General features: G+C 45.7%; 2 protein-coding genes across 10 annotated transcripts, besides 7 other annotated features; one reads left to right on the forward strand and one right to left on the reverse strand.

Moving 5' to 3' along the window:
- Positions 1 to 1,554: 1,554 nt before the first annotated feature.
- MPC1L (mitochondrial pyruvate carrier 1 like) lies at positions 1,555 to 2,263 on the forward strand. The gene has a single exon (NM_001195522.3). The coding sequence runs from the start codon at positions 1,693 to 1,695 to the stop codon at positions 2,101 to 2,103; it is 411 nt and encodes a 136-aa protein (NP_001182451.1). The 5' UTR covers positions 1,555 to 1,692; the 3' UTR covers positions 2,104 to 2,263.
- Positions 5,048 to 25,688, reverse strand: CXorf38 (chromosome X open reading frame 38). Of its 9 annotated transcripts, none has more exons than XM_005272589.4 (7): positions 25,432 to 25,688; positions 25,134 to 25,268; positions 17,136 to 17,255; positions 15,134 to 15,283; positions 14,660 to 14,839; positions 8,741 to 8,900; positions 5,048 to 6,703 (listed from the first exon to the last, which is right to left on the reverse strand). In XM_005272589.4, the coding sequence occupies exons 1-6, from the start codon at positions 25,645 to 25,647 to the stop codon at positions 8,742 to 8,744; spliced, it is 960 nt and encodes a 319-aa protein (XP_005272646.2). In that variant the 5' UTR covers positions 25,648 to 25,688; the 3' UTR covers positions 5,048 to 6,703; position 8,741. The 9 variants fall into 9 exon arrangements, with proteins under 9 accessions (XP_005272646.2, NP_659407.1, NP_001317384.1 ...); NM_144970.3 differs by having other exon boundaries at positions 5,048 to 8,289; NM_001330455.2 differs by having other exon boundaries at positions 17,136 to 17,299.
- Positions 22,364 to 22,658: a silencer, noted in NCBI's record as "tiled region #4034; HepG2 Repressive non-DNase unmatched - State 23:Low". NCBI's record gives its function as "represses a minimal TATA promoter and a strong SV40 promoter by Sharpr-MPRA in HepG2 cells {active_cell/tissue: HepG2}" and the evidence as "EXISTENCE:reporter gene assay evidence [ECO:0000049][PMID:27701403]".
- Positions 22,952 to 23,181: an enhancer, noted in NCBI's record as "active region_29548". NCBI's record gives its function as "activates an Ori minimal core promoter by ATAC-STARR-seq in GM12878 lymphoblastoid cells {active_cell/tissue: GM12878}" and the evidence as "EXISTENCE:reporter gene assay evidence [ECO:0000049][PMID:35858748]".
- Positions 24,869 to 25,068: an enhancer, noted in NCBI's record as "active region_29549". NCBI's record gives its function as "activates an Ori minimal core promoter by ATAC-STARR-seq in GM12878 lymphoblastoid cells {active_cell/tissue: GM12878}" and the evidence as "EXISTENCE:reporter gene assay evidence [ECO:0000049][PMID:35858748]".
- Positions 25,319 to 25,468: a silencer, noted in NCBI's record as "silent region_20764". NCBI's record gives its function as "represses an Ori minimal core promoter by ATAC-STARR-seq in GM12878 lymphoblastoid cells {active_cell/tissue: GM12878}" and the evidence as "EXISTENCE:reporter gene assay evidence [ECO:0000049][PMID:35858748]".
- Positions 25,589 to 25,888: a silencer, noted in NCBI's record as "silent region_20765". NCBI's record gives its function as "represses an Ori minimal core promoter by ATAC-STARR-seq in GM12878 lymphoblastoid cells {active_cell/tissue: GM12878}" and the evidence as "EXISTENCE:reporter gene assay evidence [ECO:0000049][PMID:35858748]".
- Positions 25,589 to 25,904: a biological region, named in NCBI's record as "ReSE screen-validated silencer GRCh37_chrX:40506849-40507029".
- Positions 25,724 to 25,904: a silencer, noted in NCBI's record as "fragment chrX:40506849-40507029 (GRCh37/hg19 assembly coordinates)". NCBI's record gives its function as "represses an EF-1alpha promoter that drives an FKBP-Casp9 reporter gene in an ReSE screen in K562 erythroleukemia cells {active_cell/tissue: K562}" and the evidence as "EXISTENCE:reporter gene assay evidence [ECO:0000049][PMID:32094911]".

Consider the following 26,084-nt stretch of genomic DNA (forward strand, 5'->3'; position numbering starts at 1 on the left):
ATAAGGAACCTTTGCTTTAGTGTAGATGACCACTCCCCTCTGCAAGGTAGGGAGGAAGAATGTTCGGTTAGTTCCTTTCCTCTGGCCGATCTCTTTTTTTCTTCTCTTCGCACAGTCCAACAGATGCGCTCGGCCTCCCGGGAGCTAGCCCGCCCCCGGCCCAGAGGCCAATTTACAGCCGCACGCCTCACTCCACCATCCTCGCAGCTTCTCCGCGGATAACTTCTTAACCAAGTGGCCGAACTTAGTACCACCAATGCTGGAACAAAGTGACATCATGTGCCTTGCATTGTGATGCAACTAAGAATACAACATCTCTTGTGAAGTTGTTTTATCAAAAAATGTTTAACCTAAATCTAACGAGAAAACAGACAAATCCAACTTACAGACATTCTGAAAAGCGACGAGCTTGGACTCTTCAAAAATGTCCATGTCATGAAAGACAAAAAGCCAGGGAACGCTTCTAGATTAAATATTAATCAAAGGAGTTAACTAAACTTGAATTTTGATTGAATCCTGACTTCCCCCTCCAACAAGAAGGAAAAAAAAATACAGCCGTAAAGCTATAAAATTTAAATATGCTCTGCATATTACAGTGTGGATTATTGCATTGTGGTTAAGTAGGGGTCCATCCTTGTTTTTAAGAGACAGATGCTAAAATGTTAAGGTGAAATGTCACTATGTCTGCAAGTAACACTCAGGCAAATTGTGTTAAGGGCTAAAATTCTGAACCCGGTTGAGGAATTTTGTATCAACATCTAGTCAACACTGTCCAGGGACTAGGCAGAACAAGCAGTTTCCCTTTGCATGGCTGAGAAGCAGGCAGCCTGACCCTCTCCTCTCCGGGTGGCACGAGTAACCCTCAGCACTTAAAAGCAGCTGCAGGCCTGTGGGGAACGCAGGCTGAGGCTGTGGTTCCACTTCTGCCAGAGGACACACACATGCACGCATGCTGTATGCACTTTATGGCAGTCCACGGAAAGCGCAAAAGTGCAAGGGTGAGGCTGCGCCCCTCCCCTAACCCCCACAGGAACATACGACAGCAGCACGTGCTGTCTGGAGCACTTTACAGCAGTCACGTCTGCACAAGGGCAAACCCACGCCCTTTCACCCCCACAGAACAGCGGCAGCTGCTGTCTGGAGCATTTTACGGCAGTCAGGCAAAGGTGCAAGGATGAGGCCAGGCCCCTTCACTCTCTCAGAACCGCTGCACGTGCTTGTGGAGCACTTCACAGCAGTCATGCAGAGGCGCAAGGGCGAAGCTACGCCCTTTCATTCCCGCAGAACATTGGCATGTAGTCTGGAGCACTTTACAGCGGTTACATGAGGCGCGAGGGCAAAGCCACGGCCTCGCACGCCCGCAGAACAGGAGCACGTGCTGTCTGCAGCACTTTAACGGCATTCAGGCAAAGGCCCGCGGGTGAGACCACTGCCTTTCGCCCCAATAGCACAGCGGCACGTGCCGTCTGGAGCACTTTACGGTAGTCAACGCGAAGGCGCCAGGGTGAAACCACGCCCTTTCATTCCGACAGAACAGCGGCACGTGCTGTCGGCGCACTTTGTGGCAGCCACGCGAAGGCTCGAGGTCGCGAGCGTGTGCCCAGTCAGGGTCGGCTGCGGGTACTCGGCTTTGCGCTCTATTTCGTTGTGGTCTGGCTGTTGATCCGTAGGCACGCCTACGGCTATTCCATCATGGCGAGGATGGCGGTACTGTGGCGGAAGATGAGAGATAACTTCCAGAGCAAGGAGTTCCGGGAATACGTGAGCAGCACTCACTTCTGGGGTCCCGCGTTCAGCTGGGGCCTTCCGCTGGCTGCCTTTAAAGACATGAAGGCGTCGCCGGAGATCATCAGTGGCCGCATGACAACAGCGCTCATCTTGTACTCGGCGATCTTCATGCGCTTCGCCTACCGCGTACAGCCTCGAAACCTGCTGCTGATGGCGTGCCACTGTACCAACGTGATGGCGCAGAGTGTGCAGGCCAGTCGCTACCTACTCTACTACTACGGCGGCGGCGGCGCCGAGGCTAAAGCCCGCGACCCTCCGGCTACCGCCGCCGCTGCCACCAGCCCGGGTTCCCAGCCCCCGAAACAAGCTTCTTAAGAACTGAGAGGGCCTGATCTCATCTCTGCAGGTCACAAGCACTGAACTGCCATTCCTCCTGAAAAAAGACCAATGAAGACCTCGGTTTTGACTCTAAAACAGTGCGAATCTGACTTAAACCTGCAGTTTGATTAATAAAGAAATACAAAGTAACATTGAACCGAAGTTGAGTGTTGCCTTTTTTGTAAACTGAAAATGTTTTTTAGAAGGGGAGGGTGGATTAGCTGGTCTTTCTCTTCACAGGACCTGCAACTCAAGATAGTTTATATGGGGGAGGAAGACTTTGAATGAAAAGCACTTCACAGTATTCACTAACTCGTAGCTTTTTTGTTTTTTTTTTAAAGCTCTCTTGGGAACGTATTTCTGTTACTTGTTTTGGATGTCCAGAGCGAACAGGGTTGCTTAGTATCACACATGACTCACAGCTTGGTGCAGTCACAAATCTGTATATCAAAAAAAGTCTGGGGGCTCTTTCTACTGAGGGAAATGTTTCGAAGTGGGTTTTAAATGAATGTCGTGAGGTACAGTGCAGCCTCAAGAGAACCTAGGATCTCTTGGCGACGGAGAGCAATTATAGAATCTGCCATGGAGACAGGATAAACAATTCTGAGGACAATTGCCATCAACCCTGGATTCTAGGTAAATAGGTAAAACGACAAAATCGTTCTTTCCTCCTTTAGTTATCCTTAAAAACGGGGGAAATGGCAGTTTGCAAAACTGGTTACCTATCAACTCTGTTGAATGCTAGCTAGAGCTGGGGGTGAGGGGTCAGTGGTCAACAGCGGCAGCTCAGAGTATTCCCCTAGGAATCTTGGGGGTTCCTACGGATTCTTAAACCACAGAGCCGAGAAAAGGGAAACGAGAAGGGTGGGGTGGTGGGGCAGTAGGCTAAGGCCATTACCTACATAGCAGAGGCTGCCCTCTACGATTTGACCCAAAAATTTCCCCTGTCCCTGCCTCTGAAGGATGCGGAAAGTTCCAGAGTGTTTACTGGTGAACCCCAAAGTAGGTGTTTAGAAGTGTTTGAACCCTGCTTTAGATAGAGGTTTCAAATGCAAAGAAATTTAAAAGCACTATCAAAGATTCTGAAGACGTTAGTTCTTGGACAAAACAGGCACATTAGTGGAATTCTAGAAGATTCCCCTTTATCTTCTCTGGCATTAAAGCAGAAGTCCTCTTTGTGGGCAGTCTGTGTCACAGTTTCACGAAATTCTGCATGTGGGGACGGGGTTAGCGGGGGAGTGGGGGGTAAGGGGGTGGGAAACGAACTATGGGGGTAGTGTATTATCTATGGCCGTGTAATCACCCCAACACTTAGTTTAAAACAGTTATCTGACGTAATTTCTGAAGGTCAGGAATCTGGAAGTGATTTAGTGGGGGACTTCTGGCTCAGGGACTCTCAGCTGTCAGCTGGGGCTGCAGTCTCTGAAGATTTGACTGGAGCTGGAAGATCCGCTTCCAAGCTCATAGTTGTTTGTAGGAGGCTTCAGTTCCTTGTCATCTGGGCCTCTCCATATGGCTGCTTGTGACGTGGCTTCCCCCAGAGTGGTGTTCCAAGAGATAGCCCAAGATGGAAGTTCTAGCCTTTTACAGCTTCATCTTGGAAGTCACATACCATCACTTCTGCTGTGTTCACACAAAACAACTCTGGTACACTGTGGGAGGACAATATGAGGATGGGAAGCAGGCGTTGTTAGGGGCCATCCTGGATGCTGGCTACCACACGTGGTGCTAAAATAAGAATTCTCACGCCTTTCTAGTAGTCAGTAGGAAAGTAAAGCATGTAAATTTGTTGCTTACCTTCCCAAAGAGAGGTCACAAAATGCTCAGTTTACAGTTTTGTGGTCATTGCTAACATGCATATATCATAGAGCATGGGTTTGAGAAGCAGAAATCTCTGGAAGATAACAGTGGGTCTTAATGTTTTAGATAATTCAGACTACAATGCAGTATTAAAAACCAGTGCTTAAAGTTATGAAATGAGTAACTTTATATCCACTTCACTAATGATTTCATGAGTAGAAATTAATATATTTTTAGGTTGTCTTACAATATGCATTTTGTAATTTGAGTCTATTTCAATAAAAGGCCATTGTCTGTTGAAGACATTTCAGAGCCGGTAGGTTTCTAATTAACCTGGTGAGGGAAAAGGAGGTAATCTCTGCTGCTAATTTCCTATTACTCTATACTTACAATTTAGAGGTCAAAACGATTCGAGGAAATATCCAAAAGATTGCAACACCTCCACAATAATGCAATGCTCCACTTACAGCATCTAATTCATAATATGCCCACCCAACTAAGTTAGCTGGGTTCACTTAGACCCTTTGTTGTCTAGGATATTAGTGTTTAAAGCCAAGTAAGTAATTCATACTTTAATAAAAATGAACTTTTTAAATCATTAGGGTAACAATCATTTCATAATCTTCCCAAACTCTCAAACGTAATCCTAACCTTGGCAATTTAAACTGTCTACAGATCTCCACAACTTTATAAAACCAGTAACATTTTCTGAATTGGCAGAGCTAGTTTTCCAGTTTTTGTCACCAACACACTTTAGTCATTTCCCAGAATCAGGTGTTTTACTCTGAGTTGAATATGTAATGTCTTCCTCCTTAGGTACTCTGAGCTCCCTGGTGAAGAATAGGCTAAATCCAAAGAACTGCTTTATCTTTGCAACTATAATGCTAATACCATTTTTTTCCTCTAATTCTTTCAAAACTATGAGCCACATATTGTGTCCCAGGGAGAGGCTGAGAACAAATCATATTGCTGGACGAAGACAAGCCTCTTCACGATGAAACAGACAGCCCTATGTAGAAAGTGATCCACTTGCTGGGCTTCTTCCCACGACCCTGACAATTTGCAGGTGACCCTGGAGGTGGAGCTACAAAATGGAGGAATGGAGGCTACAACATAGTCCAGGAAATGCGACACAGCCAGCTTGCAGTTTGAATTTATATTTTATTATTTTGAAATACAAAAATTTAAAAACATTTCAAAATACACCAGTACATGTTTGTTGTAAAAATTTCACCTAGGAGGATATAAAATAGAAAAGCCGAATATTCCTTCTAACTCTCCCCTCTACCTCAATTCCCTTCAGAGGTAACACAGCAAAAAAAAACTGGGGAAAAGCAAACAACTTTCCAGACCTCTACTATTCTAAAACACAAAGAGCATTACAGCTTGCTATGCATTTTTTTTTTTGGGGGGGGGGGGTTGTTTTTTAGAGACGGAGTCTCCCTCTGTCACCCAGGCTGGAATGCAGTGGTGTGATCTCGGCTCACTGCAACCTCCACCTCCCCAGTTCAAGCGATTCTCCTGCCTCAGCCTGCCGAGTAGCTGGGATTACAGGCACGCGCCACCACGCCCAGCTAATTTTTGTAGTTTTAGTAGAGACAGCGTTTCGCCACATTGGCCAGGTTGGTCTCAAACTCCTGACCTCAGGTGATCCGCCCTACTCAGCCTCCCAAAGTGCTGGGATTACAGGCGCGAGTCACTGCGCCCAGCTGCTATACATTGTTAAACCTTTTGCTTTCTAGTTAATATGTCTTAGAGATCACTGCATGACCACAGTGCAGCATCGCTTCATTCTTTCCAACAGTTGCATAAGATCCTGTAGTATGGATGTGCTACACTTTAACAGTGCTGCTGTACACATCCTGTTGTGCACACCCTTGTGCCCAGGTGCACAGTTCTGTTAAATAGAAAGATATGAACAGGTTGATGCCTCTATATATGATGCTACATTGCCTTAAAGCCCTCTCTAGGGCTTTAAAAAGTTTTCGGAACCGTATCTTTAACAGAGCGGACAAATCCAGTAAGATGACAGTTCGTATACCATCATCCATACCTTACACATCCTTGTATTTATATCTACTTCAGTGGCTGGCACATGGTGGACCCTTGATAAAAGCTTCTTGGATAGATAGGCAGAAACTAACTAGACACAGGTATAAAATGGAAGCGTTCATAACCCAAAGTTCCTAAAATTAGAAGTCAGATCTTAAATTGGTTAGTGAATCAAGATTCCATTTGATCCCAAGTTTTGTACCTCACATCTAGAAGCTCTGAAATATTTCACTAAGTTTCCTCGTTTGGAAGAGTTGTGAGATGAATGAAATTTCTTTCTTTACTGTTGAAGTTTTCTCAAGGAATTTCATGAAATAAAGGGAGAAAGAAAATGTAAGACTAAAGACTAAATACTACCTGGACAGATTAAAGGAGGAAGTTACAGGCACATTTGCACTCATCTGGGCTTTACAAAGTGATATTAAGTGCATTTTAATGTAAAAATATACACCAAATAAACCCCTGCCCTCCACCCATTCTACAGATGACATCCTTGGTGGGCGGCTGGATAGGCACACATCTTCACTGGGCTTGGAATGGAGCCTTTCCTGCAGGCAGTGAGGAACATGGCAATTCTGTTCCTGAAGGTCCACAGGCAACTTGACCCAGTTAAGTACCACTGGCCTTGGAAACAAGTAGATGCGGGGAAAGGCGAAAGTGAGGCCGACTCCACGGACCACTGCCTATGATGGGGCAGTCATTGCGCAGTTTGGGAAACCAGCAGGAGGAACTCAGGAGTGGATGACTTTAGGGGTAAAAGGTATAGAAGAAGCATGAACGAATGTGTGAATTTGTTGAAAGAAAATGATGTCTTTGAATTTCCACAAGAATGTTGCAATTTCATTTTTAAATTTCGTAACAAAGGACCAGGCTTAGCTAATAGTATAACTAACATTTAGGCCTGTGAATACTCCCAAGCTATGAGGGGACCCTTCAGTCAAATATTCACTGAGCATGTGAGGGCCAGGCCCTGGGAGCTTACTTTTCAAAAGTGTACCATAAACCAGCTGCCAAGCGAGAAGCTCCCCTGCTCCTGCCTGACATCCCCGCTTGTAATGCTGGCCTGGGTCCTGCCTGTCCACTGGTCACTCGAGTCACCATTCTCCAGCTCCCCACAGACCAGCCTGGGCCCACCTCCTTGCCCTACTGCCTTAGGCTACTCCAACCTAGTAGTAACAGTTTTTGGGGTTTTTTTTTTTTTGAGACAGGGTCTTGTTCTGCTACCCAGGCTGGAGTGCAGTGGCATGATCATAGCTCACCACAGCCTTGACCACCTGGGCTCAAGGGATCCTCCCACCTCAGCCACCTGAGTAGCTGAGAATAAAGGTGTGTGCCACCATGCCCAGGTAATTTTTAAATTTTTTTGTAGAGATGGGGTCTCGCCATCTTGCCCAGGTTGGTCTCAAACTCCTGGGCTCAAGTGATCCGCCCACAGTGCTGGGATTACAGGCGTGAACCACTGCACCCAGAGGCAGTAACATTTCTGTACTAATTGGAAATGACTAGAAAATCACCTTTCAGGCAATGTTTCTTCTTGCTTTCCTCTAAAAAGGAAATATTTCTTTCCTATCCCAACATTTATATCCCAGCCCAGCCTTGGGGATCCTGGGTGAATAGGAATAGGACTTGCCTGCCAGTGGGTGGAGCACTCCAGGTGAGCCTCTGGCACAGGCCTGGCCAAACACAGCCTTTACTAAGTTAAGCAGCTACAGTTTAGTACCAGAAAAGAAATTCACCTTTTAAATAGCAGAAAATCCCTGGGTGGTAGCAAGTTTTGTTGTTGTTTTTTGTTTTTTTGGGAGACAGAATCTCGCTCTATTGCCCAGGCTGGAGTACAGTGGCATGGTCTCAGCTCACTGCAACCTCTGCCTCCCAGGTTCAAGCGATTCTCCTGCCTCAGCCTCCCGAGTAGCTGGGATTACAGGCACATGCCACCACGCCCGGCTAATATTTGTATTTTTTTTTAAGTAGAGATGGGGTTTCGCCATGTTGGCCAGGCTGGTCTCGAACTCCTGACCTCAGGTGATCCGCCCGCCTTGGCCTCCCAAAGTGCTGGGGATTACAGGTGTGAGCCATCACACCTGGCCTGGTAGCAAGTTTTGGCATAGAGTATCTAATATTTTTTATTGCAATAGATTATACAACCCCAAGTTTATAAATATTAAAATAGTTCCAAAGAGTTAGAGGAAAGTCCAGGACAAAACAACAAAAATTCCTTTTTGTTTGGGTACAATACTCTGGTAACTTTTTCCTTTTGCACAGAAAAGGATGTCTGAGATGGAAGCCATGCTGACTTTCACAGAACATGCCTGATTTTTGTTGACGGGCAACCTAAAATGAAAGAGAATGTTTTATTTATTTTTTTTATTTGAGGGGGGAAAAAGTAAAATGCTGAAGACAGTTACTCATTTTAAGAAGTTCTCCTTATGGAAATTGACTAGTCAATTGCTATTAATGCCATGGTAAGAGCTAGGCATCAATGGTGTCATTTTAAGGCAGAAATGCTTTTTGATTATGTTATAAAGCTGATTCATTTAATTCTAGACCAATGACTTCAGGTGTATTTGGCTAAACAGGGAGTTGATGCTGAATTACTTCACAGACGTAAGAATCATTAAGTGAAGAACACAAACCTCAGTGTCCTTTCTTTGAAACAATAAGGACAAAGGCAAACTTCAGATTAGATTGTTGTGTGTTCATGATGGCCTCACATGAGAGAATAGACATGAAAGAGATGAGGTGATTCTGTCCTTCTTTAACACCATCATCTGCCTGAACTCACCTCAGGCCTTCCTGTCAGGTGTTTGTCTCCCAGGTTCCTGTGAATCCAGTTTTTGATGTAGACAGAGGCTGTCTAGCTTCTGCATATCTTCTGTAAGGCCATTTCTAAGATCCTCATTGTTTCTCAGAAATTCCTTCACCACTTCCAGTCGATTTGAGAGCTGCAAGAGGAAACCATGCAATGTACAGCTTAGACGATTTTATAGCAGATTTGTAATTCAAATGAAAAACCTACTAGCTTCTAGACTGGCTCCTACTCACGTGCCCAAGAGACAGAAATCTTGGCTACAGGCATCTGTCCACAGACAGGTTAAAGTTTGAAAAACAAAACAAATCCTTTAAAACAAAGCATCCTCCACTCAAAAAATAAAAAAGTGACCCAGGATAACTGGTTCTGGGGGTACACAAGGGAATATTTGCTTGTCTCCTTCCATTTTTTTGCTTTAAAACTTCCTGCCTTTACATGAAAGGGCTTCATTTTATACATACACACCCGTGTGTGTGTACAAATAAATAAAATGCCCTTTTCTTTTGAATTCTGTACCTGAATTATTATATAGATGGATATATACATATGTTCATATATACGTGTGTACATATATATATACATGTGTATATATATGTGTGTATGTATATATATATACACACACACACACACACACACACACACACACACACGTGTATGTGTGTGTGTGTATATTTTTTGTTTTTTTGAGACAGTGTCTTGCTCTGTCACCCAGGCTGGAGTGCAATGGTGTGATCTCGGCTCACTGCAACTTCCGCCTCCTGGGTTCAAGCGATTCTCATGCCTCAGCCTCCTGAGTAACTGGGATTACAGGCACATGCCACCACGCCCGGCTAATTTTTGTTTTTAGTAGAGACGGGGTTTTGCCATGTTGGCCAGGCTGGTCTCAAACCCCTGACCTCAGGTGATTCGCCCGCCTCGGCCTCCCAAAGTGCTGGGATTACAGGTGTGAGCCACTGTGCCCAGCGATGAATGCTTTTAAATGGGGAACCCTCAACTGCAAGTTAAGTCAGGGTTATATAAATCTAATGAAGAAAAATAACGGAGCACCCTGCCCTAAGAGAGCAGTAGTTCTTAAACTGCAGAGCGTACATCACTGATTCCCATGCAGTAGGTCTGGGGTGGAACCCCAGCAAATACTCACGTTATCGTGAAGTAAGCAAATGAAAGAGCCAGATGCCAGATCATGGCTGCTGGGGATGGGAGGGAGGTGGACAGCTGTGGCCAGGACGCACGGGGAGCGGGGAGGGACAGGGAGGAGCTGCAGATGATCAAAGGGTTTCAGATTGGTCAGTAAGTAGACCGGGAATGTGCCCTTCAGGAGCTGGTTAATACACAGCTGGAAACTAGCCTAGAGCTCCTGCAAGATGCTTGGGCTTTAAATAATAAATCTGGAAACCAGAGACATGTGAAATGAAGATCACATGGATGACACTGTTCACAGCAAGCGTTAGGAACTGTGGGCACTGCATCGTTAGCTCTCAGTGACCGTGCCCGGTGCCCTAGACACACCTCAGGGTCTTCCTGAGGCTCTAATCAGATGTCCGTGATGGCACCAGCAGGGCCTGGGCACCACACGCATGATCACAGATGGACTTTTGCCCTCAGTGGGGTGCCCCTCCACTTGAGCGGAGACTTTCTCACATGATAACCCAGGAACGGTGGTCCTTGTGCTGCTACCTCCTGACCCCCCCTGCAGACTCTCAGGACTGATGTGCTCTGTTCCACTTAGTTTCTTTTCTTTTGCTCATGGTTTCAGTTCTCTTTTCCACCCCAAATTGCCTTTCTTTCCCATTATCTTCAACAGGAGTGTCCCATAGCTGACATTTCTTGAAACTTGTTTTCTCCTTTGTGAAATGCAACAAATGCATTTACTCTTGAAATGTGCTTAAGAGGTGTTCTGGCTGGGGTGATTATTTTAGCTTGGGGTTGGGAGGACGAATCAAAAGGAGGCTTTAAAAAAAAAAGTATTAAGAACAGGGAAGGTTTTGCATGTTTATAGGTAAAGGGGGAAGAGAAAGTAGAGATGGAAAAACTGAAAGTACTAGAAAAATTTGGAATGTAGAAAATTCAGACTTGGACACTGAAGCCCAGCTTTGTCACTTAACTAGCTGTGTGACTTTGGCCAAGACATCTGACCTCTCTGAGCTTACTTTTAGGTATACAAATTAAGGATGATGATAACAACACCACCTAGGATTCTTATGAGGATCAGAAATAAGCTACTAAAAGCACTTAGCAGCATCTCTGGTCCATTCCCTCCTTTTTAACTACATTCATTCAATAAATGTCCAATTTACTGACAGTCTACTACATGCTGGTCTACTGTTGGAGGTAAAAGACGCTCGGCAACTTCACTCTTCCAGTCACCTAAGCCAAAACTCTTGGCCTTGCTTTGATCTCTTTCTTTCTCTCACATGCCACATCTGCCCACCTTCACATCACCTCTACACTTCTACCTTCAGCCTGGCTACCACCATCTTTTACCTGGTCCACTGCAGTAGCCTCCTACCAGTCTACCTGCTTCTATCTCGGCCCCTCCCCTCCAGTACCCCGTAGTACCCTCACCACTTTAGCCAGTGGCTCCTTTTGTCATCCCAATGGCTCACAAGGCCCAGTAGGAACTGCTTCCTCTCCCTCCATTTCTCTGACCTCTTCACCCACTATTCTTTCAAGTCCTCTTCCCCTAGATACACGCATGGCTAATCCTCACCTCCTTCAAGGTACTGTTAAGTCTCACCTTCTCAAAGAGGCCACCCTAACTACCCTACTGCAACCTGACATTCGTCCCCACTCTGCCAATCCTGATCGCCCTCCCTCTGCTCTACACTGGATTTCTCCTTCTACTGCCCCACATCATTACCTTATTATGTTTACTGTTTAGTATCTGTCTCCCAGATACTAAACAGTATCTGTCTGTTTCATTCACTGATGCATACCAAGCTTCTAGAACTGTGCCTGGCACACAGTAGGTGCTCAATAAAAATTTCTAGAATATAACGAATGAAGTGCCATTTTCTATCCTTTCCCCAATGGCCTTGAGTACACACTGTCATCGTCCCTTGTCCCTAAGCTTCCCCACAGGTCTCTGTGAAGGTGGCTCCCTCACCAGGATTTAAGAAATCAGTCATGATTTTAAAGTCTGTGAAAATTATTTTCAAGTTTTTTAGCCACTAACTGTGCTCAATGTTCTTTAGTTGGATTTTTTTTTAACTCCCAGATCCTAACAGAGCAATGAGGGCTGGCAGGACTATGTGAAGGGCACTTAGGTGGCAGCCGAATTCTGGGGCAGATGAGCCCATGGCCGACACAAACTCCACATGTGTTACAAGGGGGCCAAGCAGCTGCTACTCCCATTTGGCTCCAAAGCAGAAAAAAAAATCTCACAGTCACAGCAATACATGCACAGTGTATTTTAATGTGAGCCCACTTTTTCTAATGTGCTATACCTTTAAGGGTCACCAAACGAATAGAAAATTGTGGAGATGGTGAGCTCTCTGTGGCACTCCATGATGTGTTTGCAGGAGCTGTCACACTGAATTACCACCATCAATCATTTTTCTCAACTTAGCTTTCTAACCCTACCCCTACATTTTTTGGCTGGTTGGTCTGTTTAAGAGATGGGGTCTCCCTACATTGCCCAGGCTGGTCCCAAACTCCTGGGCTCAAGTGATCCTCTCACCTTGGCCTCTGAAAGTGCCGGGATTACAGGCAAGAGCCACTGCACCTCGCCTTCACCCCTACTGTTTTAACAAAAACAAGAAACAGGTCTTGATAACATTTATAACAAAAGTCCTGGGGTCATAATATAATCACTGTATTTCCTGATCCCGGGATGCACACTTTTTCCTATTGTAACGTCTCAAATGAGAATGCATCTTACCATTGATAGTGTCTTGTAATAAACTGGCAGCATTATTTTTTCTTTCTTAGAAGTAACTGAAATAATGGTATGTTTTACAATTGACAGCATTTTACATTCATTGAAATCTGGTCCTAACAAATCCTCTGACTTTGGCAACTAACCCTAAAGAAGATGGAAAATCATATAGGGTACTGAACTTTCTGAAGACGTCAAATTTCATATATGTGGAAACCTGACCTCCAACTTTTTTGAGGTAACATGCCAATCAATCCTCACATTTTGACCAACTGAAATATTATGAGAAATGCCATGGTCTGCTGAAGAGAAAGCATGAAAAATGAGAATTTATCAACTCCACCTAGAGACTCCACCCAGAAGACAAGCCAATTAATCCCTATTTCCTTTCTGTAAAACAGATAATGGGGGTTCAAAACGTACAGCTGCCAGCTCCTCATTATATAAGATCTGCAGCACAGCAGGCGGGAAGCCACAGGATCAGAAGGGGGAGACCTGCGGGCCAGCCCTCAGACCCAGTGCAAGCTCCTTGGGGCCCTTGCCTCACATGCAAAGCAGGGGATATAAGATGACTGCCAGGTTCCCTTCCAGCTCTCAACTGACACAAAATCCTGGCTCTAGCTTCTGAAAACAGCAGCAGAAAGAAAACTGGGGCTCTAATGGCATTATAAAATAAAGACAGAGGAACTCAAACACATGGATTTAGAAAAGAGAAGATAAACATTCTAATACATCATTTTAAATACCTATGGTGTACCATGGTGGGCACACCCAAAAAACCAGGGGTACCAAGCCCTTGTGCTAAAGGGGCTCACCATGCTGAATAAAGCACCTGGATCAAAGCTGGAATGGTTAATACAGGCATAGTTATCTGCAAGGAGCACAGCTCCGTGAATTTGCATTTAATAAACTCTCCCTATGTTTAATGAGGTAACCAGCAAAACTACTTTCCTTGGACAAGGAGGAATGGAGAGGTGAAATGATTTTTCCAATATCTCCTGGTGATCTAGAAGTCTAATCCAGCCAGTGCTGAAATATTTCTGAACCTTACTGGAATATAATTCTACTACTGTTAATTTCTTTTATACCTTGCATGTGACAAAGGAGATTTGTTTCTCCTGTACTTGGGAGTTTAGACCATCATTAGTCTGCAGGTCCTAAACTAGAAACATTGATAATCCTTTAAACATTCCTCTCCCCACCTTCTCCACCCTTTTCCAGCCCCATGCCATGCTCCAAGTAATCTCCCTGGCCACCAATATCCATCGGTTCTGCTCAGGCACTGCCTCCAGAATCCAGTTCCTCCACAGCCCCTAGTTTCTGTTCTCTCTCACCTTCACACGACTGCAAGAGCCTTCTGGGTAATTGCTAGCCACTCATCCAACCTCCAACTACCACAAGAGTTAACTTTCTAAAAGCTATATCTGATCCTATCTCCCTTTCTTGACTGCTTTTTGGGAATGAAGCCCAAACCCCGTGGCATGGCCTAGAAAACCTTTTGGCATGTGGCTCCAGCCCACTTTACCATCCACAAACCTGGCCATAGCTCGTGTGCTCACCTGTTCTTGCCCAGGCTCAGACTATCCTTTCCTGCTTTTGCAAGTACTGTGCCCTCTGCCAAGAAGAATCTTTTTCTCTTGCCAATTTGTCAGACTCTTATTTGATTCTGTGAGCCACAGCTCAACAGCATCTTCTTGGCAAAATCTTTTTTGGCAATCCACCTGACCAGCAGAGAATGTCTAGAGCATTTTTTTCAGAATTCTATTGTAGCCTTTATCACATTTTTCCACTTTGTGGCACAGATTAGGCATTCAAATGTTTGCTGATGTGAAAGTGAAAATATTTGTTAAGAGGTAATATTACTCTGTGCCAAAAGCATATTCACACTTCTGGAAATTATTTAACTTATAAATCAAAAACACAATTAATTATTTGTTAAGATGAGCTACTCTTCCTCCCCAGAATCTTTCTTTGTGTTGTTAACTCACACAGAGCCTATAACACTTTTCTTTTACCTCTTCAGGCAACACCTCTTGTTCTTCTGCTTGAAGATATATCTCTTGAAGTTTCTCCTTTAGTAACTGCATTTCTATTTCATTGACTTGGCTCTCACTCAGGTAAGTTCCCATTTCACATTCACACCCATCTCGCTGATCTTCCTCGGGGATGTGAACAGCCCAGTCAGACGTCAACAGCTGAGGGATTGCCACACAAATATATGAACTGATTTCATGAAGAAGGCATTCCACTGAATTACTCAAATAATTTATAATTAAACACAATGAACTGGATCCATATTAATAGTGCACTGTGACCACAGAAAAGCTTCTCAGCCCAGCATAATTACAGATTTCATATTGGCATTCTTTCCCCTGCTTACATTCTAACACTTAGGTTAAATCTAATAAACTTCAAATTCTAAATGTGTGGCTGTTGTTGTTTTCTCTCTCTTCATTCTGTATGCCAGAACTATTAAACATGATTTTTACCTGTTCTATTCTGGAGTATACTGCCACAATCTCTGGGATGTTCTTGAATTCATTCAGAAAATTTTGGATCTTCATCTGAAAATCTCGAAGCCACGTAGAAGATACTTTCATCTCTGAAGAGTGCATGATCTCATTACGACATTTAATTACCTGCAGAAAGACAAAAAGATAAAAGGCTTCAAAATCAAACAATGGGGTAAACTGAGATCTTTCACTCCAAAGAAAAAATCATAGAGAGGCTTTGTTAATTATAAAATCAACAAGAGCAGTCTTCAGATGAGAAGGACTGGAACTTTCTTGGGATCATGGGCATAATCTGGCATGTACCTGTATCAGAGTGGAGGACACTTCAGCCCTCCAGCCCCGCAAGTTGGATCCACATTTAGTTTCATCCTGTCTAGAGGGCAGACACCAAGAAGTGAAGGTCTCCTTTTGCCTTCAAAGGTCAGGCAGGTAGCCTGAGGGAAGCTGGCCATGTGTAATGGTAAGGAGTCATCTCCCTACTAAAAGACTGGTTCAGGGCAAACTGGGGAGCAGAGGCCCTATCTCAAGGGGCAGCCTCTACTTAACACGTGGCTTGTTGCCATGGGAGTTACATGAGCCCTGTGTTCCCAGATCTTCTGATTTTTCATGAGAAACTGGAAATTTAGATTTTTATGACAACTAATTTGAAATTTTAAAAAATCATGCAGGACAAATAAGACATGACAATAAGCCAGATTATGGCCACAGGATTCTAGGAATAAAAAGATGGCTCCTGGGCAACAATTCGGCCTTTTCTCCCTCCTTGAGTCTCTGGAGCAGATTTCCAAGCAATCCAGAAATTCCTAACATAACCTGTAGGTACCTGTCAGTGCCGTTGAGGCTTGAGGGGGTGTTCAATCCCCAGCCACATGAATAATACATTAGTCAGGGTAAGAAATACAAATAAGCCTACAACTATTCTTAGCCCTTGAAGTCTTGTGGCCAGCTGGGTATTCCACATTCCCCCAAAATCCCTTAACTTAAAACAACCTGCCAAAGAGCAAGCGCATCAGCTCTTGGTATACCCAAAGGATGAAGCAGACAATACAAAAGTCTTTTAAATACTGTTGGAGCACCAGGAAGCTGGGTCCAGGGAGTTTCCTGATGTGGAAACCATGATGAAAAGAAAATAAACTTTGGCCTCTATCTTTAGAAAAATGGTCGTCTAATCATGTATTAATATATAATTCATATAGAGTCTTCCACAGTTTGGTTAAAAGATATCAAAGGGGTCAACTACTATGACAGTTCTTTGTTTCTGCCGATATCATAAAGGAGTCTCAATCCTGGTAGTTGCTGGTATGCAGACAAAAGATACATGCATTTTCTCTACCTATTATAACCAGTCCAGGTATAGCTATATACTCTTTCCAATGACCTTCAGGGTAATAAATGTATGAGTTGTTCTCTGGTGAACTAGAGAAAAATCTAAATTTCCCAGAGGAAATCTAACAAGCACAGTGATCTATTCTGACACTGTTATCCATCAGTGTTCACATTTTCTTCAGTTCCATACCATTTGGCCTTGCAGCTGCTTAGCCAATGAGATTCAGAAGGGTAGGATTCAAATGCTGGCATACAACAGGCAGAATGATGCAATGTTCTGTATTTTTTTTAATAAGGAAAATTACTTTGGTTCTGTTTATGGCAGAACAGGGAAGAGACTTTTAGGTTCATCTACTTCAGTGGCAAACGGCACAATGAGTTGTTAGGAAACTAATTCAGGAGAACTACTCTTGATTGCATTTGCACTGGGGTTCTTGGACATCACAGAAGACATGATATGAGCCACACTAGTTTGCTTAGCGATGCCAACTTCGAACCCAAGTCTAACTTTCTTTGTACACCACTGTTCCGGGGAGCTACTACGTGCTATACCTGCATGGTTGGCTTAGCATCACAGGTGTAGCTCATGACTGGCTCTCACAGCACAGACCCAACTGACTCAGGGTATGCTTTTGAATCTGACAGCTCTTACCTCTGTGACTTTCTTTCGATCAACCACGAAGTGATCGCAGGAGTTGATGAGACTTAAAAGAGCAACTGCATCACATTCCTCAGGTCCTTGTTTGTCTGCTAGTCCTCGGGGCATGAAGGCCTATAGCAAGGGAGGGAGGAGGGGGACCTGAGTCTCTTCCAACTCTAGGAGATGGAAAGGCAATGGTTACTTGTCTATTTTCCAAATGATGACTGAAGTTCTCTTATGCACTGAGGTTTCAACTTAAAGCCTCATGAGCCCAAAATGCAAGTAGGGAAACTGTCACAGCTAAACCTTGGCCAAGGGCAATAACTGAAGGGCTGTATTATCCCTGCTATTAGATACATATGATATAACAGGCTTTCCATTCTGTCTTAATGGCATATAAACAGAAAGCATAACTAGAAGGCATCTTTTTTCTTTTCCTTACTGAAATTTCAGTGGTTGAGTTGTTAAATAAGAAGATTTAAAAATAAAATAAAAGTGGACACTTTCTAAATGACTTGAGGAAGTTCCGTATGGAAGTATTATATTAAGAGTCTGGGCTTTGGAGTGCAAACTGGGTTCAAATGCCAGCTCTGCCATTTGCCAGCTGTGACCTTGGTCAAGTTACCCTCAGATTCCTTATCAGTAAATGGGGGATAACTGTCCTTATCTACTTCAAAGGATATTGTGAGAATGAAATAAGAGAATGCAGGTATAGCACTAGCACAGTGCTAGGCACGTGCTAGTAACCAGGACATCAATGTTGGCAATTATTATGTAGATGGTGCAAGGCGAGTAGGACCCACATAGGAGTTACAGATGGAATCCGGGGATGGGAGATACTAGATATGCCAGAAGGGCCTCAAGCTAGCAGGATCTTGCCTTTAGTAGGAATTTTATGGCACAGACCCCCAAAATGGTGTTATGGGAAAGCTTGGGCGTATTTCTTTCCTGAAATATTTCTCAACTTATACTGGGATGCAACAACTTTACTAGGCTAAGAATCACAAGGGTACACTCCTGCCAAGGGACTAGAACAAAAAGTTACTCGCAATAAGAACTCTAAATAGGCTGGGTACAGTGGCTCATTCCTGTAATCCCAGCACTTCGGGAGGCAAAAGCAGGAGGATCGTTTGAGCCCAGCCTGGGCAACAAAGCAAGACTCCCATCTCTATTAAAAAAAAAAATTAGCCATGCATTGTGGTGTGTGCTATAGTCCCAGGTACTCAAGAGGCTGAGGCAGGAGGATTGCTTGAGCCCAGGAGTTCAAGGTTGCAATAAGCTCTGATTCACCACTGCACTCCAGTCTGGATAACAGATCAAGACCCTGTTTCAAAACAAAAACGAAAACAAAAAACAACAAAAAAAACCTCTTTTATTTAAGAGACCTGTTCCATTGAAAACACATATCAATAGGCAAGCAACTACAATGCCTCCTACAGGGCTGCTCATGAAAGCATTCTGAAAAGGCTGGGGTAAGTGCTCATGTATGCCCAGGAGAGTCAGGGCTATGCTCCTGATGGTGGTGAAATCATACACCTGAGCCCCACATAATTCAGAATTTTGTAAACCCTGGCTGGCCCGTCAACAGGTACAATAGCCAGTATCATCACTATCTTTCTGTGCCTTAATAGCCACAGACAGGCCGACCCTCTGAAAGAAGTCTATTTTGGGCCGGGCGCACACCTATAATCCCAGCACTTTGGGAGGCCAAGGCGGGCAGATCACCTGAGGTCAGGAGTTCAAGACCAGCCTGGCCAACATGGTGAAACCCCATCTCTACTAAAAATACAAAAACCAGCCAGGCGTGGTGGCACGCGCCTGTAATCCCAGCTACTTGGGAAGCTAAGGCAGGAGAATCACTTGAACCCAGGAGGCGGAGGTTGCAGTGAGCCAAGATTGCTCCACTACTCTCTAGCCTGGGCAACAGAGTGAGACTCTGTCTCAAAAAAAAAAAAAAAAAAAAGTCTATTATGGATGCTACAAAGGTTAACAAAGAAGCTAACTAACTTATCACAGGCAAACTAATGCCATGAAACTGAAGAAAAGAAGCTCTGAAAAATACAAAAAAAAATTAGTCAGGCATAGTCGCACACGCCTGTAGTACCAGCTACTTCGGAGGCTGAAATGGGAAGATCACTTGAGCCCAGGAGGTGGAGGTTGCAGTGAATCAAGATTGTGTAACTGCACTCAAGCCTGGGTGACAGTGCAAGACCCTGTCTCAAAAAGGAAAAAAAAGAAACTGCTGAATTCAGCTGTTGCTGGGAGGAAAATGCAAAGTTAGTGGGGCCTTAGTCACCTCCGAATCAGGTGCAGTAGTTTTCTTTTCCATTATAAGGTAGGTCCTGTCTGGCATTTTCTCACCAATATAAGCCAATCTCTTCCATGTTAAAGTTTTTGTTTTGTTTTTGAGAGACAGGGTCTTGCTCTGTTGCCCAGACTGGAATACAGTGGCACAATCACAGCTCACTGCAGCCTCAAACTCCCAGGCTCAAATGATCCTCCCAACTCAGCCTCCCAAGTACCTGTGAGGATTACAGGCATGCATCACCATGCTTGGCTAATTTTTTGTATTTTTTGTAGACATGGGGTTTCGCCATGTTGCCCAGGCTGGTCTTAAACTCCTGGAGTCAAGTGATCCGCCTGCTTCGGCCTCCCAAAGTGCTGGGATTACAGGCATGAGCCACCGTGCCTGTCCTTGCTACAAGTTTATTTTAGTAATTATTCCCTTTCTTCAGAACTGGAAGCCAACAGGGAGGCTCTGCTGCATCCTTACAGTGAAAGCAGTGTCTTAAAATTGTATTGCATACCACCGTGTTCCACATGCCAAACGCACAGCAGTGAGAAACATGTTATTGCCTCTCTCTATCCTCCACTGTCTCTTCGCTGAGTAGGAGATGGGGCTGGAAAATAAACAGAGGCCCAATTGTGCAGGGCCTTATTGGCTCTGGAAAGGTGTGGGGTTTATTCTAAGGCCATCAGGAAGCCATCCAAGGGTTTTAGGCAAGGGTTATAGAACGATCTAATTCCCATTTGAAGACTGCACATGCTGCTGTGTGAAGGACCGACCACAGATGCTCAGAGCAGCAGAGGCCTGGTAGGAGAGGGTGAGAGTTGTGATGTGGAGATGGAAAAGAAGATTCCAAAAGTATTTTGCAGGTACAAACAAGGAGAGAGGGGGTACTGAGAGGGAAAGAGCTGAAACAAGAGTGACTCTAGAAAGTTGGTAATGGGGAACGGGCATAGGGTGGGGGGCAAAGACAAACTGTTCTACTTTAGAACTAAATAAAATGTGCTCCACAGGCGATGGAGTGGAGGGGGCAAGTAAGCAGTTGGATGTGTGCGTCTAGAACTCAGAAGAGAGGGCAGGGCTAGAGCCATCAATTTGGGAGCCAGTTAGCATTTAACTCCACAGGCCTGGACAATGTCACCAGAGAAGAAGGGAACAGAAGAGGCCTGGCCCTGAGTCCTGAGGAAGGCCAAAAGACATTCAGAAGGAGGCTGAGCAGGAAGAGCCAGGGAGATGGGAGGAAAGCCAAGAGGGTTTCAAGAGCAGCCAGTAATGCCAAATGGCTCTGGGAGGTAAGAGAGACGAGGTCACAGATGCAGTGGAGTGGCAGGGGCAGAAGCCGAGGCGGAGTTGGTTGAAGAGGAAGTGGGAGCAGAGGAGAAGATAACAGGTATGAAACCTCTTTTTTGAGATGCTCTGCTGGATTTGTGTATGGGAGGCAGATAGAGAAATGGGGAGATAGCAGGAGAGAATGGATCAAGGGACATTTTTTTCTCTTTTTTTTCTGAGACAGGGTCTTACTCTGTTGCCCAGGCTGGAGTACAATGGTGCCACCACAGTTCACTGCAGCCTTGACCTGCCGGGCTCAAGCAATCCACCCATCTCAGCCTCCCAAGTAGCTGGGATTACAGGCACACACCACCATAGCTGCCTAATTTTTTTTTGTATTTTTGGTAGAGACGGGGTTTCACCATGCTGGCCAGGCTGGTCTTGAACTCCTGACCTCAAGTGATCCACTCGTCTCGGCCTCCCAAAGTGCTGGGATTACAGGGATGAACCACCGCGCCCAGCCACGCCCGGCTAATTTTTGTATTTTTTTGTGGAGACAGTTATGGGGTTTCGCCATGTTGCCCAGGCTGGTCTCGAACTCCTGAGCTCAAGCAGTCTTCTCACCTCTGCCTCCCAAAGTGCTGTGATAACAGGCATGAGCCACCACATCCGGCCTCTTAAAATCTTATTTTCCAATTATTTATTCAAGTGTTTTTAAAAAAAACAGCTTTCTTGAGATATAATTCACCCATCTACACATTATAATTCAGTGGTTTCCAGCATATTTAAAGAGGTGTGCAACCACCACTACAGTCCATTTTAGAACATTTTCATTGCCTCAAAAAGAAACCCCATACCCATTAGCTATCATCCCTCATTCCCCAAAGCCCTGGCAACCACTAATCTACTTCTGCTTCTATAGATCTGCCTATTCTGGATATTTCTTTTCTTTTCTTTCTTTTCTTTTTTTTTTGAGATGGAGTTTCCCTCTTGTTGCCCAGGCTGGAGTGCAATAGCACAATCTCAGCTCACCGCAACCTCCACTTCCCAGGTTCAAGTGATTCTACTGCCTCAGCCTCGCGAGTAGCTGGGATTACAGGCATGCGCCACCATGCCTGGCTAATTTTTTGTATTTTTAGTAGAGACAGGGTTTCTCCTTGCTGGTCAGGTTGGTCTTGAACTCCTGACCTCAGGTGATCTGCCCACCTTGGCCTCCCAAAGTGCTGGGATTACAGGCTTGAGCCACCGTGCCCCGCCTGGACATTTCTTACAAATGGAGTCTAAATGGAATTTATATAAAATGGACATTTCATATAAATATAATATGTGACTAGCTTCTTTCACTCAGCATACTGTTTTCAAGATTTATCCACATTGTAACTTGTATTAGTACTTAATTCCTTTGTTACATTGTTACAGCAAAACAATATCCCATTGTACAGAGATACTGCATTTTAAAAATTCCATTCATCAGCTGATGGGTATTTGGGTTGTTTCTACCTTTTGGCTATAGTGAATGGAGCTGCTATGAACATCTGCGTACATTTTTTTGTATGAATGTATGGTTTCATTTCTCCTGGGAATATACTTAGGAGGGGAATTGCTGGGTCATGTGGTAACTGTTTAATTGTTTCTTTTAAAAAAATTTAAATAAACCATGGCTATATTAAAGCTTTTTCTATGGAGATGGGAATGAGCTGCAAGAGAGAGAGTGGACAGCTGAAGCCTCAAAGGCCTTGAGCAAGAGAAAAGGGATAAGATCCAACACACGAGTGGAGGTATGAGGCAATAAGAGGAGAGACACCCTTCCTCCTCTGTAGCAGAAGGAAATAGATGGTGCACATGGAGATTAGTTGGTGTTGGCAAAAAGAAGAGGAAGTATAGTCAGCCCTCCATATCCACGAGTTCCGCATTCATAGAATCAACCAACTGTGGATGAAAAATTCTCAGAAAAATAATACAACAGTAAAAAGTAATCGAAATTTTTTAAAAATATAGCATAACGACTATTTACATAGCACTTACATTCTATCAAGTATTATAAGTAATCTAGAGATGATTTAAAGTACATAGGAGAATGTATGTAAGTAATATGCAAATACCACATACATCATTTTATATCAGGGACTTGAGCATCTGTGGATTTTGGTATCCTTGGGGGTCTTGGAAGCAATACCCCATGGATAAGGAGAGACAACTATGTATGTCCAAGGGCCTCCATCAATTCCGTGAAGCATGAGCAAGGGCGGAGGAACGGGAGCAGGGATTTGCCAGGGAAAAGTAGTAGTCTCCAGAAACTGAAGCCTAGAGAGAGATGTGGCCAGACCGCTGGGGCTCATGATCAAGAATGAAAGTGAAACCAGTCAGTTCCCTTGTGAGATTCTTTCCCACTAATCAGAAGCAGAAAATGTCATCAGGACTGGAGTTGGGCCAGGCAAGTTCAGAGAAAGGAGAAAAAAAAAGCTGAGATAACAGCAAGGGACGGATTATAATGATGGGCCATGGAATCTGGGCTAGCTGAGGTGACAAAGGCAGGCAGGAGGACAGAGGGTGCTGGGTATTCAGGAAGCAGTGGAAGCCTCAAAGAGGCGGAAGTAGTATGGGGCACAGGGTTGGGGGCAGGGGTGCATGAATAAGTGTGCCAAAGGCCAGCAGGATGTTAGACACTGAGACTTTCTGTGCCAAGGTCCAGGGTGTGGGCATGCAAGCCGGAGGCTGAGGGGGAGTGAAGCAGAGGATGCTGGAATCAGGAGCCCAGAAACTGAGAGGATGGGGTTGGACTAGAAGGTCTGTAGGTGACAGCAACCAAGAGGAGCAAAGAGTGGTATAAGGAGGTAGTACAGGCTACAAGAGGATTCCAATGGTGTGAAAGCAGCAACGCAGACCAAACAGATGAGGGACAGGCATTGTAAAGGGCAGAGTTTTCTTTCTTTCTGTTTTTTTTCTCTTTTCTAGGTAGAAGTAGAAGTCAGCAACTCTATGGCTGCAGTGGAAAAAAATGGGGAAGATGGTGTAGGTGTGGTGGGTTTACCGGCTCGTGATACCCAAAAGTCTGGGGACCCCTGATACAGTTCAATTTTTTAAGACAGGGTCTTGCTCTGTCACCCAGGCTGGAATGCAGTGGTGTGATCACGGCTCACTGCAGCCTCGACTTCCCAGGCTCCAGTGATCCTCTCACCTCAGCCTCCTGAGTAGCTGGGACTACAGGCATGCACCACCACACCCAGCTAATTTTTGTATTTTTTTGTAGAGACGGGGTTTTGCCATGTTATCCAGGGTGGTCTTGAACTCCTGAGCTCAAGCCATCCTCCCACCTTGGCCTCCCAAAGTGCTGGGATTACAGGCATGAGCCACCGCGCCCGGCCCCAATTCCTTTCATTTTTTTTTTTTTTTTTTTTTTTTTTTTTTTTTTTTTTTTTTTTTGAGACGGAGTCTCGTTCTGTCGCCCAGGCGGGAGTGCAGTGGCGCGATCTCCGCTCACTGCAAGCTCCGCCTCCCGGGTTCACGCCATTCTCCTGCCTCAGCCTCCCGAGTAGCTGGGACTACAGGCGCCCGCCACTGCGCCCGGCTAATTTTTTTGTATTTTTAGTAGAGACGGGGTTTCACCGTGGTCTCGATCTCCTGACCTCATGATCCGCCCGCCTCGGCCTCCCAAAGTGCTGGGATTACAGGCGTGAGCCACTGCGCCCGGCCGTCCTTTCATTTTTGAGATTGGGGAGCACAAGCTGGCCCAGTGTCACACCACGGCAGCTGATCCAGGACTCAGATCATCTGCTTCCCAGGCACTGCTCCTTTCCAGTGCCCACCCTGTGCCTGCTGATAACTACTGGCATGTAGACTGACTGCTAAAGTCAATTTGTGTTAGGAAGCCACTTCTGGCTGTCCCTCTCCGTCCCTTACTGGGCAAAAAAATTTCCTACTCGATCTACTTAGTAAGTGACATTGCCAAGATCTGAAGACAGATCCGGCTGCCTACCCCATTCCCAGCTACCCAAAGTGCCTTTAACTGGGCACTTAAGGTGCTATTTTAGCCCTAACTTCCCTTGGCTTACTCTGTCATCCTTACGGCATCCTATAGCCAAAAAAGAGCTGATGAGCTGTTCAGCGAGCCTTACCCTCAAACAGGCCACACAAGAGTCTCCCTCCCTCCCTGCCTGTGCTCATGATGCTCGCTCTGCATCTTGCCCCAGTATCTCTTGTAGAACTCTTTCCTGTAACTTTCCAAGCAGGGGTAACAAACTCAAATGCCCTCAGGAAGCAGACGGGTAGAAGAAAGCTTCTACTTCACTAAGCTGGGTTGGGTCCCGCATACCACCCCTGAACCGCCTAGACCCTTGATCAATCTCTCTCTCTGCATCTGTTTATGAGGCCCCGGCGACCACAAGACCAGATAGCCACCCCGAGTGCTGGGTGACCCGCCGCTTCCTCCTTCCGTCCCCGCCTCAGGCGCTTACCTTGGCCACCTCCCAGGCGTCCACGGGCCAGCGGCCCGGCCGGCAGTTTCCCCAGTGCACATCTCCATTTCTGTTGACATGATGTCTCAAAATCTCCCTTTTCCATTCAGCGCACACCTGACACTGAGGCTGAAACTACAGGGGGCGGCGGTGAGGAGGGGCCCAGGAGGGAGGGACGTCGCGGTGGGCCCCGCATCGCGGAGGGAACAGGACACTTGCGCTCTGGGTCTGGGACAGGAACGGGGATGAGGAGGGGTGGGGTGGGGGCGGTGGTCAAGGCCCCGAGCCAGGTGCTCACCTGGCGGGCGCGAGGGCTGCACCGTGAGCCGCCGCGGCAGACGGCGCGGGGCCCCAGGCCGGGGGCTGCGGCGAGTAGGCCGCGGTGGAAGGAGAGCACCTCGCGGCCGACGAAACCCTGCAGGCAGCTGCGCAGCAGTAACAGGCAGTGGCCCGCCTTCACCCAGTTCTTGTACTCGGCGCAGTTGAGGCGCGCCGCTAGCTCCGACAGCACCATGTCTCCCACTTGGAACCAGGAGGTTGCGGGGCGTGGCGGACGGCAGTGCGCAGGCGCGGAGCCTGGGAAGTACCCGAGGCAGCGGCGCCTGCGCCGGCGGCAGCGACGCCTGCGCCTGCGCGGCGCGGTGCCACCGATCCCGGGGCGGGGCATCTTGACTTCCGGGGCACGTCGGCTCCACCCCACTTGGGTGACGTCTGACGTCTGACGTCTAACAACTTTGGTGCTTGGGGAAGCAGTTAACTATTTGAAACCCTTAGGCCCTCTTCGTCCCCCAAACAGAGACCCTGTCAGCATCCGATTCGACTCCCTCTCCTAATGTAGGGCACTTCTGTTTTAACTTTTTTTTATTGTCCAGATGTACAAGGTGCTCAGGGCACATTGCTTGAATCGTGTATGTTCTTTGCATTATACAATTCTAGAGTTACTGGTTCCTA

This window comes from Homo sapiens, chromosome X (genome assembly GCF_000001405.40).
Source record: "Homo sapiens chromosome X, GRCh38.p14 Primary Assembly".
Classification (NCBI taxonomy): Eukaryota; Metazoa; Chordata; class Mammalia; order Primates; family Hominidae; genus Homo; species Homo sapiens.

What these genes read in the sequence shown, in the direction of transcription:
- MPC1L (NM_001195522.3), top strand. Translation starts at nt 1,693, where the DNA reads ATGGCGAGGATGGCGGTACTGTGGCGGAAGATGAGAGATAACTTCCAG.
- CXorf38 (XM_005272589.4), bottom strand. Translation starts at nt 25,647, where the DNA reads ATGGTGCTGTCGGAGCTAGCGGCGCGCCTCAACTGCGCCGAGTACAAG. An exon ending in GCAGCCCTCGCGCCCGCCAG is followed by an intron (nt 25,269 to 25,431) that starts GTGAGCACCTGG and finishes CGCCCCCTGTAG; the next exon opens with TTTCAGCCTCAGTGTCAGGT. An exon ending in ACGCCTGGGAGGTGGCCAAG is followed by an intron (nt 17,256 to 25,133) that starts GTAAGCGCCTGA and finishes CCCTTGCTATAG; the next exon opens with GCCTTCATGCCCCGAGGACT.